Source organism: Homo sapiens, chromosome 8 (assembly GCF_000001405.40).
Source record: "Homo sapiens chromosome 8, GRCh38.p14 Primary Assembly".
Taxonomy (NCBI): domain Eukaryota; kingdom Metazoa; phylum Chordata; class Mammalia; order Primates; family Hominidae; genus Homo; species Homo sapiens.
In genome coordinates this window covers 115,219,034-115,236,446 of record NC_000008.11, presented here as the reverse complement: position 1 = coordinate 115,236,446, position 17,413 = coordinate 115,219,034, and the positions used below count along the sequence as shown (strand labels likewise).

Genomic DNA, 17,413 nt, shown 5'->3' with positions numbered 1-17,413 from the left:
TAGTCCTTGAGATAGGTAAAGATTTGATCTTAGTATTGACAATTTTATGCCTGTCTTCCATCCATTGTACTTTTATCTCTGGAAAATGGCTTCGTGTTTTGTGACTCAATATGGATGACCACAGAGGGAAGAGGCAAACAGAAGAGAATTAACAAATGAGCTGCGTTTTCTCTCAAACCATTTTCTCTCTCTCAATTTTAACTTGGTAGCTCCATTTTATCTCTTGAATGAATTCCAGTTATTCAGCAGAATTAAGCACAGAAGTGTCTCTTCCGTTATTTTTCATGTATTCAATTGATAATTTAAAATTGATATTTTTGAGTTAAGTTTTTACACATTCTTTTTTCTTACGTTTAAGGCATTTAAGAATCCATTTTAACAACTTTAGAATTTCCCAGATAAAGGAATATGCAATATATCTAGTTATCTTTTTTAGCAAAGCAAAAAACAAAAGCAAAAGAGCAAAGAGTAATTTGTTTTGATGCCTTGAAAATGCCCTGCAGATAAGCTCTTATGTTTGATTGAGTGGATTAGGGTGAGAACTATGAATACTTAAGGACAGAAGGAAAGTATGGCATGTTTCATTTGTTGGTAGATGTGTATAATTTAAATACTAAATTAACCATAGACCACAGAGATCTTTCTTGCCACAATTATGCCATTCTCTGGCAAGTACTAATGGCAAAATTATAATCTTTCCTCTTGTCAAAACTCATTCCTTCTGCCTTGACTAATGCTGGATAAAACTGAACGAGGTGTAGGAACTCATAAAGGGCAAATTCTAAAGTCACTTTAGCATGTTCTAACATATTGCTTGTTGTGTACCAACCCCATATGGCCTAACAATGGGTGATTCTTTGTAGACATGTCTATTGTAGTCATACTTAAGAGAAATATTCAATGTTACGAGACATGTCTTCAAGATATTTTGATCTACTTTATTGTTCTTTGATTTTACAAGGTCAACTATGCTTTTCTCCCCAGAAGATAAAATGGCTTCAATCTCTCTTTAAATCATGATTTTGGCGTCTACCCCAAAACATCTTGGAAAGTGAAGTGTTTCTTCTTTGGCTGAATATTTAAAAGACAGTTATTGGCTATTTTAGCTTGGATAGAGGTAAATCTATAAATTCTTAAGCCTTAGTAAAAACTTACACAGAAGAGATACATAAAATTCTTTGTGGGTTGTTTGCTTCCCAATAAACAGAGCTATTTTAGCTTGAATAAAATATTCTCAGAGTTTTTTGATAATTCAGTTTACATATTTTTTGAATAAAAATAAGCAACATTAATTTTATGTTTAATCATTCTTTAATTATTGGTGTTTCATGGACAGCATTTACGCCGTGTTGTTGGGGCTGTGTGAGTTTTTGAGCTAAACTAATAATTTGTGTACCAGCTCCATCACTAGCTGTGTGACTCTGAGCAAGTCACTTAACCTCTTCGTTTTCTCCACAGCAAATGAGGAACATAATAGTAGCCACCTCCCAAAAGTTGTTGTGAGCTTTGACTGAGTTCATACATGCACATCACTTAGAAACATGCCTGGCAGAACTTAATAGTCCATATCTAGTGACTATTGAGTATTTCTTATTACTTTAGTTCATAATAGAATAATCTAAAGCTATTTGGTGGCAAAATTTTATATTTATTTTAATTACACATCTATTATAACTCGAAGGAAAATTAATCAAAAGAAAAAGAGCCAGGTATGGTGGTGTGTGCCTATAATTGCAGCTGCTCGGGAGGCTAAGGTGGAAGGATCACTTGAGCCCAGGCATTAGAGACCACCCTAGACAACATAGCGCACTATGTTGCTCAATCTTGTCTCAACACGAAAAACAAGCAAACAAACAAAAACTCAATGATAACAGATACAAACACAAAAAAACAAAAACAGAAAAGACAAGGGTAAATACACCTCTATCGTTACCATTCCCACCAACCATATTTAAAGCACTGGCAGAAGTCTGATGTGTATTCTTCCAGATGTTTGTTATTCATCACACGCAATCTCACTACATGAATCCTTTTAAATAATAGATAATCATCTTTATGTTACTTTTGAAATTGGTTTAAAAATAACTCAAATGTATATAGCATATCCTTTTTTTGGTTCATGCATATATATCTGCCTTATTCTTTCAATTGTGGCATACTAGTACATAGAAGATATGTATCATAAAATCTACCTTATGACTGCGATTTAATTTTTCTCTAAATATTTGCTATTACAAACAGTGCAGCCAATAACTTTCTTATTCATCCTTCAAAGATAAAAACTGGCCTCTAAAACCAGAGCAAAACTACAGATTCAACTGGTTTGGATTCCACATTGTTTAAAAAAATTAGAGTCAACATTTATTTTTTTTTTAATTTTTATTTATTTTTATTTTTTTTGAGACGGAGTCTCGCTCTGTCGCCCAGGCTGGAGTGCAGTGGCGGGATCTCGGCTCACTGCAAGCTCCGCCTCCCGGGTTCACGCCATTCTCCTGCCTCAGCCTCCCAAGTAGCTGGGACTACAGGTGCCCGCCACTACGCCCGGCTAATTTTTTGTATTTTTAGTAGAGACGGGGTTTCACCGTTTTAGCCGGGATGGTCTCGATCTCCTGACCTCGTGATCCGCCCGCCTCGGCCTCCCAAAGTGCTGGGATTACAGGCGTGAGCCACCGCGCCCTAGAGTCAACATTTATAAATCAAGGCAATTTAGATGAAAATCCAGAGTTTGGGCTTCTCTAGGAAAACCCTAAAGATCAATAGCTATCGGTCTAGTTTTTGCATTGCAAAAACTCTGCTTTGACAGAGTATAACCTGCTGCATTTATAAGTTAATACTCATTTCACTTGCTACTGTCTCTGCTTTTCCTATCACATTGCATGTAGCTGCCTTTATTCATTTATAGTATCTGCCTGGTTCTCGTGAATCCTTAAGTTTGTGATCCCTGAGATGTATCATTAAACACTTGGGCCAGTATTACTAAATGATAGAATTTAAGTAGTGGAACTTCTGGGTCAAAGGGTAGATCAGGCTACATTTTTTTAAGTACTGTGAAATTATTTTTCAAGTTGCATTAAATACCTAGAGTGCTTTTACTTCTAGGTTCTCATCTAAACCTAAAGGCAATGCAAATTAAGTAGAAAAAAGAAGTAAGAACTCTTGAGTTTCTTTGAGAAAAAGAAACTTAATGCAGGGATTTATAGACAAATATTTGGAAGTGGTATCAGTAGGTGTCCTGGCAGAAAATACAATACATACATACTCAGCTGAAATCTTGAAGAAAATTTGTTGAGGGGTTCTTTACAGAAGTATGGGTGGGACTAAGAGAACCAATGAGGGAATGTCGAGACCCCTAAGGAAGCCACTAGTAATTTAAATCTGATGGGACAGGGAGAGAGCATGGTTTTCTGGGAGTCCTCTGGAACCTAACCTCTTGGAACCAGGTTGCCACACAGGAGATAGAGTTGTTCAGGGACAGCCACTGCTATAACTTTGCTGCTGAGGTATAGTGGGAGACAGGATCAAAATTCCCTGGCCACTGTCTCCTTTCACCCTCCAATCCTCTTATGGGGCCTCCTGCTATACAAATCCCTCTGGCCTGTAGAGCTAGATGGATTGACTGCAGTAGATCCTAGGAGTCAGAACAGGGGGCTTAGAGGTTATGTAGAGCAGGAGTTTGCAAAGGGACAAGAGCTGGCCCAAGACTGTCTGGTCTCAATTGTCTTGGAACATTTTCTGTATTATCTCTTTTGTGATCATTACATTTTTTTTTTCTTAAAAACAATATAAAGTCACTACTCAACCATAACAATCTGTAGTTTATAAACTTTTATTGCATAGAAGAGTTTAAATGACTAAAGCACATGTGGGGAAACCCCCACAAGGTAGTAATAGGATACACAGAAAAGTCTTTATCAATTTGAACAATATTTATATTTTTCAAAGTCCATGTGGAATTGGTTCAACCTTTTCAGCTTTGCCAACAATAAGATAAAAATGTAATGAAAGTTTCCATATGCTGGACACAAAACTATACCAGAAATGGATTTGTCAAGGGAGAAAATTCAGGTACCTAAGTAATCATATATTTGCATAGACAGTGATGACGGTTTCAGATAAAGGGCTTTGGAAATTTGGAGAAAAGAGAAATCATATTGGTAACTTCCTTGCAAGAGCTCCACTGAAAGGCTTGCTGGGTTAGCAATGCCCTACATTCCCTCTGTAAGGCAGAGTGACTGATGTCCACAGCCAGCAGCCATTCTGTTCCCTCCTTTGGTGTTGATTCTTATCAAGAATTAGTTGCAGTTGTTTCCAACCCTTATTAAGCCAGTTTTACTAACTAATATGACTACTCAAAGCATTAAATAGTAAGTAACCTAATGATATGAATGTGAAATGAAACTTATTTTTACAATAAAATCTAAATTTAATGCATTTTTAGAAAATTTTATGTATGAGTTCCTAAGAAAAATATTGCTATCAAATTAGCCAAAAACATTTTGAGAATTGGAAAAATCAATAAGAAATGTGTTTTACAAACATTTTCAGTGATGGAGTCTGCATTTAGAGTGCTTTGCATATCAAACAGTTTGCTTCATCTTGAATAAATTAGCATCTTATATTATAAATTATGGGTGTGGTTTATGCAAAAGATCAAGAGGTAGAACTCTGATCAATGGATCTCTAGTCAAAGAAGAGGCTTTGGCTCTAACTAAAAGTTTTCAACTGAAGAATCTGTCTAAGTTCTAAAGTAAATTAACACTCAGTATTTGTGCTAAATCTGTAAAAAGTATTTGTTGCTATAATTTTTTGGATTTACTAACCAATTAGAAGACATGAATAAATAGGATATGAGGGCTTCCTCTAACTTCAGCTGTGAAGATAAGGTATACTTCCCGAAGAAAAGATATTTTCAATGGGGCGCTTGCTAGATATCGCATTACTAGTCTTATTTACTTAAGGAAGCAAACTCTTCCTAAGTGGGTAAATCAATTATATTGAGCAAACATTTATTGAATTTTCATTGCCTGCAGGATAAAAGATAAGTTATTGATCATGGCATAAAAGCGTATTCATAATCTAGTTTCTACATGCTTCTTCAGCTTTGCCTCATCACCTGACTTACCTTTATGGAATAGCAAGATAATGTGCTTGTGGATCTTAAAACCACTATTGTGTGGGAAGATTTTATGCTTTTGTACATTCACTTGCAGGGGCCTAACATGCTTATCTTGTCATCATGCAAGTGTTGAACTCTGGTTATTCAATAAAAATTCTGTTCATTAAATAAAATTCTTTCTTCTGTGAATTCTGTACCAAATTATCCTTTTAAATGAGGAGAGAGATTTATGAAGACAACTTTCTTATAATTGTTTTTGTAATAATTATATTTAGAATACCAAAACCGACTAAAAAAACCCAACATTATAGCATGGTCTAGTATACCATGAAATATAATTTCATATGATAATTATGAAAATTATGTTTGTAAAAAAGATTTAGAGTTTGCTAAAAATACTTCAAGTTCACAGAATTACTTAAAATGCTAGTTACATAAACTGGCAAAAAGCACAGTATAAGATATAGTATTAACTCAATGACATGAAGGAAAAGTAGTCAGAAAAATAATGGGAAGAAGTCTAAAATTTTATTGTGTGTAACTCTAGGTGGTGGTGTTAGATTGCAGGTGCTATTTGATTCTATGATTTTCAATGTGTCAACAATTAAAATATGATTAATAATAAATAAAACTTTTAAACAAATACTAACACTTTGTTCAATCACTTTTCTTATAGAATTTTCTTGAATCATTCATGCTTAGCATTCCTTACTCTCTCTTATCTATGTTATTTCTTTATTAGTCATAAAAACAAGTCTATCAGAGTGATTTATTTATTTATTTTATTATACTTTAAGTTCTGGGATACATGTACAGAACATGCAGGTTTGTTACATAGGTATACATGTGCCGTGGTGGTTTGCTGCACTCATCAACCCGCCATCTACATTACGTATTTCTCCTAGTGCTATCCCTCCCCTAGCCCCCACCACCTGACAGACCCTGGTGTGTGATATTCCTCTCCTTGTGTCCATGTGTTCTCATTGTTCAACTCCGACTTATGAGTGAGAATATGCAGTGTTTGTTTTTCTGTTCTCGTGTTAGTTTCCTGAGAATGATGGTTTCCAGTTTCATCCATGTCCTTGCAAAGGATATGAACTCATCCTTTTTTATGGCTGCATGGTATTCTATGGTGTATATGTGACACGTTTTCTTTATCCAGTTTATCATTGATGGGCATTTGGGTTGGTTCCAAGTCTTTGCTATTGTGAAAAGGGCTGCGATAAACATATGTGTGCATGTGTCTTCATAGTTGAATGATTTATAATCATTTGGGTATATACCCAGTAATGAGACTGCGAGGTCAAATGGTATTTCTGGTTCTAGATATTTGAGGAATTGCCACACCGTCTTCCACAATGGTTGAACTAACTTATACTCCCATCAACAGTGTAAAAGCAGTCCTATTTCATCACATCCTCTCCAGCATCTGTTGTTTCCTGGCTTTTTAATGATCACCATTCTAACTGGTCTGAGATGGTATCTCATTGTGGTTTTGATTTGCATTTCTCTAATGACCAGTGATGGTGAGCTTTTTTTCATGTTTGTTGGTCACATAATTGTCTTTTTTTGAGAAGGATCTGTTTATATCCTTCACCCACTTTTTGATGGTTTTTTTTTTTTTGTAAATTTGTTTAAATTCTTTGTAGATTCGGGATATTAGCCCTTTGTCAGATGGATAGACTGCAAAAATTTTCTCCTATTCTGTAGGTTTCCTGTTCACTCTGACGATAGTTTCTTTTGCTGTGTAGAAGCTCTTTAGTTTAATTAGATCCTCTTTGTAAATTTTGGCTTTGTTGCCATTGCTTTTGGTGTTTTAGTCATGAAGTCTTTGCATATGCCTATATCCTGAATGGTATTGCCTACATTTTCTTCCAGGGATTTTATAATTTTAGGTCTTACCTTTAAGTCTCTAATACATCTTGACTTAAGTTTTGTATAAGGTATAAACAAGGGGTCCAGTTTCTGTTTTCTGCGTACGGCTAGCCAGTTCCCTCAACAGCATTTATTAAATAGGGAATCCTTTACCCATTGCTTGTTTTTGTCAGATTTGTTAAAGATCAGTTGCTAGTAGATGTGTGGCCCTATTTCTGAGGCCACTGTTCTGTTCCATTGATCTGTATATCTAGTTTGGTACCAGTACCATGCTGTTTTGGTTACTGTAACCTTGTAGTATAGTTTGAAGTCAGGAAGCATGATTCCTCCAGCTTTGTTCTTTTCGCTCAGGATTGTCTTGGTTATACAGGCTCTTTTTTGGTGCCATGTGAAATTTAAAGTGTTTTTTTTTTTTCTAATTTTGTGAAGAAAGTCAATGGTAGCTTGATGGGGATAGCATTTAATCTATAAATTACTTTGGGCAGTATTGCCATTTTCATGATATTGATTCTTCCTATCCATGAACATGGAATGTTTTTCCATTTGTTTGTGTCCTCTCTTATTTCCTTGAGCAGTAGTTTGTAGTTCTCCTTGAAGAGGTCCTTCACATCCCTTGTAAGTTGTATTCCTAGGTATTTTATTCTCTTTGTAGCAATTGTGAATGGGAGTTCACTCATGATTTGGCTCTCTGTTTGTTTGTTATTGGTGTATAGGAATGCTTGTAATTTTTGCACATTGGTTTTGTATCCTGAGACTTTGCAGAAGTTGTTTATCAGCTTAAGGAGATTTTGGGCTGAGACAATAGGTTTTCTAAATATACAATCATGTCATCTGCAAACAGAGACAATTTGACTTCCTCTCTTCCTATTTCAATACCCTTTATTTCTTTCTCTTGCCTGATTGCCCTGGCCAGAACTTCCAATACTATATTGAATAGGAGCGGTGAGAGAGAGCATCCTTGTCTTGTGCTGGTTTTCAAAGGGAATGCCTCCAGTTTTTGCCGTTTCAGTATGATATTGGCTGTAGGTTTGTCATAAATAGCCCTTAGTAATTTGAGATATGTTCCATCAATACCTAGTTTATTAAGAGTTTTTAGCATGAAGGGGTATTGAATTTTATCGAAGGCCTTTTCTGCATCTATTGAGATAATCATGTGGTTTTTGTCATTGGTTCTGTTTATGTGATGGATTATGTTTATTGATTTGCATATGTTGAACCAGCTTTGCATCCCAGGGTTGAAGCCAGCTTGATGGTGGTGGATAAGCTTTTTGATGTGCTTCTGGATTTGGTTTGCCACTATTTTATTGAGAATTTTTGCATCGATGTTCATTAGGGATATTGGCATGAAATTTTCTTTTTTTGTTGTCTGTCTGCCAGGTTTTGGTATCAGGATGATCCTGGCCTCATAAAATGAGTTAGGGAGGAGTCTCCCTCATTTTCAATTGTTTGGAATAGTTTCAGAAGGAATGATACCAACTCTTCTTTGTACCTCTGCTAGAATTTGGCTGTGAATCCATCTGGTCCTGGGCTTTTTTTGGTTGGTAGACTATTAGCTACTGCCTCAATTTCAGAACTTGTTTTTGGTCTATTCAGGGATTTGACTTCTTCCTGGTTTAGTCTTGGGAGGGTGTGTGTGTGTCCAGAAATTTATGCATTTCTTCTAGACTTTCTAGAGGTGTTTATAGTATTCTCTGATGGTAGTTTGTATCTGTGGGATCAGTGGTGATATCCTCTTTATCTTTTTTATTGTGTCTATTTGATTCTTCTCTCTTTGTTTTATTTTGTTTTGAGACAGAGTCTTGCTCTGTTGGCAGGGTGGAGTGCAGTGGCACGATCTTGGCTCACTGCAACCTCTGCCTCCTGGGTTCAAGTGATTCCTCTGCCTCAGCCTCCCGAGTAGCTGGGACTACAGGCACATGCCACCAAACCTGGCTATTTTTTTGTATTTTGTTAGAGACGGGATTTCACCTTGTTGGCCAGGATGGTCTCGATCTCCTAACCTCGTGATCTGCCCATCTCAGCCTCACAAAGTGCTGGGATTGCAGGCATGAGCCACCATGCCCAGCCAATTCTTCTCTCTTTTCTTCTTTATTAGTCTGGCTAGAAGTCTATCTATTTTGTTAATCTTCTAAAAAAACCAGCTCCTGGATTCACAGATTTTTTTGAAGGGTTTTTCGTATCTCTATCTCCTTCAGTTCTGCTCTGATCTTAGTTATTTCTTGTCTTCTGCTAGCTTTTGAATTTGTTTGATCTTGCTTCTCTAGTTCTTTTAATTGTGATGTTAGAGTGTTGATTTTAGATTTTTCCCACTTTCTCCTGTGGGCATTTAGTGCTATAAATTTCCCTCTAAATGCTGCTTTAGCTGTGTCCCAGAGATTCTGGTATGTTGTGACTTTGTTCTCATTGGTTTCCAAGAACTTATTTATTTCTGCCTTAATTTCGTTATTTACCCAGTAGTCATTCAGGAGCAGGTTGTTCAATTTCCATGTAGTTATGTGGTCTTGAGTGAATTTCTTAATCTTGAGTTCTAATATGATTACACTGTGGTCTGAGAGACTTATGATTTCTGTTCTTTCACATTTGCTGTTGAGTGTTTTACTTCCAATTATGTGGTCAATTTTACAATAAGTGTGATGTGGTGCTGAGAAAAATGTATATTCTGTTGATTTGGGGTGGAGAGTTCTGTAGATGTCTATTAGGTCTGCTTGGTCCAGAGCAGAGTTCAAATCCTGAATATCCTTGTTAATTTTCTTTCTCGTTGATCTGTCTAATATTGACAGTGGGGTGTTAAAGTCTCCCATTTTTATTGTGTGGGAGTCTAAGTGTCTTTGTAGATCTCTAAGAACTTTCTTTATGGATCTGGGTGCTCCTGAATTGGGTGCATATATATTTAGGATAGTTAGCTCTTCTTGTTGCATTGATCCCTTTACCATTATGTAATGCCCTTCTTTGTCTTTTTTGATCTTTGTTTAAAGTCTGTTTTATCAGAGACTATGATTGCAACCCCTGCTTTGTTTTGCTTTCCATTTGTTTGGTAAATATTCCTCCATCCCTTTATTTTGAGCTTATGTATGTCTTTGCAAGTGAGATGGGTCTCCTGAACACAGCACACCAATTGGTCTTGACTCTTTATCCAATTTGCCAGTCTGTGTCTTTTAATTGGGGCATTTAGCCCATTTACATTTAAGGTTAATATTGTTATGTATGAATTTGATCCTGTCATTATGATGCTAGCTGGTTACTTTGCCCATTAGTTGATGTGGTTTCTTCATAGTGTAGATGGTCTTTACAATTTCGTATGTTATTGCAGCTTTACTCAAGTGTCTTTCCATTCAGACAGAAAAGTCTTTGAGAAAAGGGTCTGCTTCATATATTCTCTGTATAATTGACATGTTATAGTACTACCTAATACATATTTGGAGCTCAACCAACATAATATGAACATGATCACTTTTAACAAAGTTAGTAATATTCTCTAAATTCCTGACAAAGAGGATGAGAATGAGGCTCCCTTTATGATTTCTTATCAGTAGGCCCCAAATCAGTCCTGGAAGACTTTATGTTCTCATCCAAGCTCAAGGCAGCACTAAATTATTTCTAACATCATTAGGCTATTAATATTATAAATGAAGACAGTGTTTTCCCTGAATTTATGCAGAGTTGCTTCAAATACTTCACTTTATGTCTCTTAAGAAAAAGCCTAAGGGAATCATCATATTCTTTATTTTTCAAAAATTATTAATGTGTCAGAGTTTTATTTAGTTTTTCACATTAGCCACCATTAATCTTTAATCATTACTTTTCTCCCATTTTCTAGTAGAAAATAATGTATATTTATTTTCTTTAGAGGATATAATGTCACACTTGGCCCACTAATATTTTATTATTGAGAATTAAGGAAATTTCATGACAGCTCAACCAACTTTATGAAAAAGAGACTAACATCTTAATTTTTGGTTTTCAGACTAATGTTCAAGTTACCTCTTTTTCAGTGTTTCAATTGTAATCAATAAACATAAATTAAGCACTTTTGTATCTAACTCTCTACTTGATTATAAAACATCAACGATGAATAAGAAAAGATCACCCCAGCAAGGCAAATTTGAATCTCAGGCTGTGTACTACATTAGAGTTGAAACAATAGGCTTCAGGAGTTACAAAGAAGAAGTGGATAATGTTGTACAAGGTGAATAATGTTGCATAGCCAAATGTGAGAAATGGAGAAGATGACCTGGGTGCTGAACAGCAACAGAAGGGCGGGTGTTCTAAACTGAGATGGTTAATTTTATTTGTCAACTTGACTGGGCCAAGGCATGCCCAGATAACTGATTAAACATTATTTCTGGGTGTGTGTGGGAGAGAGTTTCCAGAGGAGATTAGCATTTGAATTGGTACACTGAGTAAAGCAGATTGTTTCCACAAGGTGAGTGGGCATCATCCAATCTGCTGAGGGTGCAAATATAACAAAAGAGGTGAAGGAAATTTGAATTAACACTGTATGACTGTTCACTGGGATATCATCTCCTGTCCTTGACTTGTGGATCTCAGGCCCTCAGACCCAAACAAAAGTCTACACTATCTGTCCTTCAGCTCTGAAGCCTTCAAACTATAGCACTGGCTTTCCTGGGTCTTCAGCTTGCAGACTGCAGATCTGAGGACTTTTCAGTCTTCATAATTGTGTAAGGTATATAAGGTTATTTATATTATATTACATGAAGTCTAATTTATTATACCTTATGACAAATCTTTTCTGAGGGAGATATCTATTTATATCTATATCTATATCTATATCCATATCTATATCTATATCTATATCTATATCCATATCCATTTATCTATCTATCTATCCATCCTATTCTGTCTCTCTGGAGAACCTGACACATATATAAACAGAGACAACAGAGTGAGCAAAATCACAGAGGCATTAATTTTCAAGATATATTTGTAAAGCACTGTTATGAAGTTCTCTGTGTGTGTGTGTGTGTGTGTGAGTGTTTGTGTGTGTGTGTGTGTGTGTTTCAGGCTGCATTCTCTATTTTGGGTATAGGTAGTCCATTTTCTGCACTGTTGAAAAAGGGATTATCTGTGAAAGGGAAGTTCAGATGGTCTGAGAAGACTGTGAAGGCAGCTGTTCATGAAGCCCACTCACTTAAACAAAAAATACTAATGGTGGCTAATACTCTACATTTTCGCAAGATGTTATCAATATTAAATGATATCAATTAGTATCACTTAATTTTTATAACAATCCTGTGAAGTTGATGCTATTATTGCCCCAATTTTACAGATAAAAAAATAAGACACAGAATAATTAAGAAACTTGCTTACAATAATAAAATGAGTAACTACTGGACTACTCACTGCATTAAATCATACCTCCCTGGGCATTTTGTTTAACCTCTTTAGATGACCACAATCCTCAGTCCCAAGTTTTCTAGGTTTATTCTCTAATTTTGGTGTGAACTCTGAATTTTTTTCTAAATTCTTTCCCCCTTTTCTTCTTTCCTTAATTTTTATATTTCTCTTATAAAACTTTATTCCCTTAAATTATTATATTAAATTCATAAATTATTATTTTAATTGTAAAGATTTCCAGATGTACTTATCTCCCTTCTTTCCCTTCCTTCCTTCCTTCCTTCCCTCCTTCCTTCTTCCCTTCTTTTCTTTCCATGCATCTATCAAATCATCCACTCATTCAACTATTTAAGTTGCTTATTGGGGAAGACAGATACTGAATAATTTATTAAGATGAATGTAAAACATGAGTAGAAGAAAATGATAATTTAGATTTATATATAACCATGTTGGAGAAGAAGGGAAAGCCATGGGACCATATAGTGTAGGGAAAGGGAAGATAGCTAATCATATCTCTGGATATAAGAAAAGCTATTTTTAGGATATGATTTATTTTTGAGAAATGAAGAGAACAAAATGTTTTAAATAGAAATTGGATGAAAGGAGTGAGTAAGAGGGAAGAGTCAAAGCTTACTACCCCAGTACTGGCTTGGGCACTTCTGTCAATGAGATGATATGACTGGTCTTAGAAAACTTTTTTGAGATGCCTGAAAGATATCTCAAGTAGAGATATGGACCACAAATTTGGGTATATGGGTCTGAAGGTTAGACAAGATCAATCTAGACTAAAGGTGAGATTTATTGTAAACATGGATATATGAGAGATAATTTGGGGAGGTGCATGGAGAAAGAGGAGCATGGAGTCTTCGGGATAGTGCTGATAAATTCCAACCTTTAGAAAATGGGTAGATGAGGAGGAGCCAACAAAGAGATCTTGGCAAGACAGCTAAAGACGTAGGTGGAAAAGCAGGAGGTTGTGGTGTGCTGACACTGAGTGAAAAGTGTTTTGTTATTTCTTTTTTTAAAGGAGGAAGTGGTTAGAAAGGTCAAATGCTATTGCCAGGTCAAACAAGAAAAAAACTGAGTCAGCTGTACTTAGACATATAGATGATTATTGACTATCTCAGCAAGAATAGTTTCAATGGAACAGAAACCTGCTTTGAATGAGTTAAAGAGAAAAGGAGAAGTGAAGAAAGGGAGATGCCAATTGCAGATAACTTCTTTGAAAATTGCGACTTTTAAGAAGATAAGAAGATAAAATTGAAGCTAGAAGGATGTGTGAGGGGAGGATTTTTTTTGTTTGTTTTTCTCACTTTCCTTTCACATTTTACCATGTGGAACCTTTATCACGTTTGTATATTTGTTACTGGCAGCTAATCCATACAGATTTGCAGCAACCTCAATTCATGCCTCCTCAGAAGAAAGAATTCAACCGAGGGTGCATAAGGCAGAAGGAGGGACTGAAGCAAGTTTTAGAGCAGGAGTGAAAGTTTATTAAAAAGCTTTAGAGCGGGAAGAAAGCAAGTAGAGTACACTTGGAAGAGGGCCAAGTGGGTGACTTGAGATCTCAAGTGCATGTTTTGACCTATGACTTGGGGTTTTATACGTTGGTATGCTTCTGGGCTCTTGCATCTCTTCTCCCCTGCTTCTTCCCTTGTGGTGGGCTGTCCACATGTGCAGTTTTGGCCTGCTAGCACTTGGGAGGGGAGCATGTGTAGTGTGTTTATTAGAGTTGTATGCAAGCTCACTGGAGGTGTTCTTCCCTTACCAGTCTAGCATTCCTAGAGGAAGGTCATATGCCAGGTAAACTCCACCATTTTGCCTCTTGGTGTGCATACTTGAGCCCACTTGTCCAACTCCTGAGCTTTTATTGGGAAACTGCTGGTCACTAGTTCTGGGATTTTTCTGTGTATTGGGAGACTGCCTTTCCTGAGAGCCAGTTGAGACTAATTATTATTTTAGAGATGCAGTTTAACAATTGCCTGACCATCACCTGATTGATGCCTGACATTCCTGGTGGGGCTGGGCTCTCTCCTGCCCTGCTCATATCCGACTATAACATATTGAAGTGGAGAAACCAGTGGAAAGGGGCAGTGTAGCTACAGAAAAGGATGGAGATAATTAAATATGAACTACAGCAGGTGAGACTGGATGAGATTTATTACACAGACTTCACCTTAGTGAAAAAGCAAGACAAATCTTCCATTAAGTAAGAATGATGTGCAACAATAAAGGGCAAATGGGGAAGTAATGAAAGAAAATTGGTAGATTTGGTGACAGGAAGCCAATGGAGTATGCCTTTTGATATGACTCCAATGACTGGAGGAACATCAGGGTACTTTGTCTTGTGCCAATTAGATAAACGACACGGACACACGTGGAGTGGTTTTAAGGACTGAAGAGTTTAATAGGTAAGAAAGAAGAAAAAACTCCCCCATGCAGAGGGAGGGGGGCTCCTAGTGGAGAGAGACTTCTGCCCACCCCCTCCCCCCTACGCCCACCAGTCCCGTGGAAAACAGTGGGTTATTTAGGAGGCTGGAGGAGGTGGTGTCTGATTTGCATAGGGCTCAGGGGATTGGTTTGACCAGGTATGTCATTCACATAGCCTGTGAGAAAACTGGCCCTCCCACCCTAGCCTTTTAATATGCAAATGCAGGTCACCATGATGTCCTGCACACATGGAATTATCAGGAGGTAGTCATGATGCTTGGCACAGTGGTGACAAGGAGAAGAGGGCAGGAATCACCATGTTGGATGGACTCAGTTTCTAATTGCTGGCATTTGTATATCAAATCTTGCCCGCCTGGCTATTCAAGCCGTTTTTCTATTAGAAAAGAAATGTTTCTGGGGCTGTTTTTATTAAAAGAAAAAACCTTACCAAGGACTCCTTACCCTCTCTATCTGCCTAAAATAACTTCTTAATAACTCCTGTATTACTTTCATGAAAACATGGGCTTTAGTAAGGAAGTTTGCTGAGAGAAAAGAGTATATTCGGCAGGCTAGAAACTTGAAAAGAGGGTAAATGGTTTAGTAACTATGATCTGAATGCTTGGGTCCCTCCAAATTTATTATGTTGAAACTTACTCACTCCCAGATGTGGGTGTTAAGAGGTGGAGCCTTTGAGAGGTGATTAGGTCACTAGAGCAGAACTTTCATAAATGGGTTTAATGCTCTTATAACACAGGCCCAAGGGAGCTTGTCTTGCCCCTTTTGCCATGAGAAGATACAGCCAGAAGGCACCATTTGTAAGGAAGAGAGCTCACATCAAACACTAAGACCGCTGGCACCTTAATCTTGGACTTCCCCATCACCAGAACTAAAAAATAAATATTTGTTGTTTATAAACCACCCAACTTATGATATTTTTGTTATCATAACATTTTGTTAGTAGCTCAAGTGGACTAAGACAAGAGTCATTACTATGAAATGTTGGCTTAGGAAACCTACCATAGTAGCATTTTCAAAGTATCTTTAATTTAGAGTTCATTAAACCTTGTTTTGTTTCTCACCCACGAGATTCTTCAACAAAGAGCAGATTCATGGAAAGAACAAAAAGAAATTTTCACCCTGTTTGCCTCCTCTTGTCTGATCTCTAATAAGGTTATGAAAACTGCTTTAAATTTTTTGTACCTAACTTTGCTCTTGCTCTGGGTTCCCATGGTGGTTTATTCTCTGTGATAAAGCAATTGTTAGAGAGAATTAATGTCACAGTCACTGGTGAGAACTTTTAAGGGGAGGGAAAGCTTGTAAAAGCCAACAATTCTATCTGCAATAAACAGCCAATTTTTATGAAACTTCCTTGGTCATAAGAAAAAAAGAGAAAACAAAACTAAATGTAAGGGAATCATGAATCTGTAAGAGATCTTGGGAGGTCATTTTGATATGCACTGTGACTCCATTTGGGCATGGTTTTCCTTGATCTTTGATATTTGTTTCCTTTGGCACATACTAATAATGATAATGCTACTATATGCTACATACTGTTTGAATTATTTTACACAAATTAACTCAGTTAGTCCTCAAAACCATTCCTCTAAGGTAGTGTGTACTATTGTTCTCATTTTAGAGATAAGAAAACTAAGACACAGAGAGGTTAAGTATCTCGTCCAAGGTAACACAGTTAAGATTAGAGCTATAAATGAAAGCCCCAAGTGATGTGGCTGTAAAGCTTGTGTTCTTATAGGCACTTACTGGGTGAATTGATTAATGCATGCCTTCTTGCCTTTGTTCACCTGGCATAATCTAGTATTCTGATTTTACAGATGAAGTCCAAAATCCTATTCAAGATTGGCCAAGGTCATACCGTAAGTGACAGAGCAGGTATTTAACGTCAGCTATTTTGACTCCATGTCCTACTCTTTTTCATTATGCCATAATTGCCTCTGTATCTAATTCACGTCTGGTGATTCTCTTTTGCCCTGAGTTTTGTTTGCACCTCCAGCCTGTGTACCTCCTGCTCAGTAATGATCTAATACTTACTGTGTGGGCTTCAAAGTTTATTTGATTTGGAGCAACCTAAACGGCCAGTTGGCAAGGTCTAAATATAAGATTGTAAATACAGGGACAAGGATGCATATTTCTGGCCTGAGGGGATCTCACAATTATGGTAAAATATTGTGAAGTATTGGCAACTGTTGGCACAACTGAAATGGATTTTTCAATTCTAAATATTTGTGGTATGTTATATAAATTCATATAAAGGGAGAAACTCCAGAATTATGGTAATAAACCTTAATATTTTGTATGTATTACACCAGTTTAAGAAAGTGGGATTTTTAGTTTGAAAAAGTAATTAATTTTGCAAGAGTCCTGCCTTGACAACACACATGAGGGTTGCTATTTTGCACAGTGCATGCACCTTGCAGTGTTCAGAATAGGCTGCATTTGTTGCTACCACCCTTGTTTCCTCGCAACATCCTGTGTTGTGACTGGGTAATACATTTTGCTACACTGATTTGACTGAGGGAGGGAGAAACCACAGCATGGTGTGGTTTAAATGACTCATTCAGTCTTGTAAAAGTGGTCTGTGTTAGAGCCAGAGTTAGGATTTGGATCTTCCATCTTGAA

At 36.8% G+C, this 17,413-nt stretch overlaps 1 annotated feature.

Moving 5' to 3' along the window:
- Positions 13,642–13,771: an enhancer, noted in NCBI's record as "active region_27819". NCBI's record gives its function as "activates an Ori minimal core promoter by ATAC-STARR-seq in GM12878 lymphoblastoid cells {active_cell/tissue: GM12878}" and the evidence as "EXISTENCE:reporter gene assay evidence [ECO:0000049][PMID:35858748]".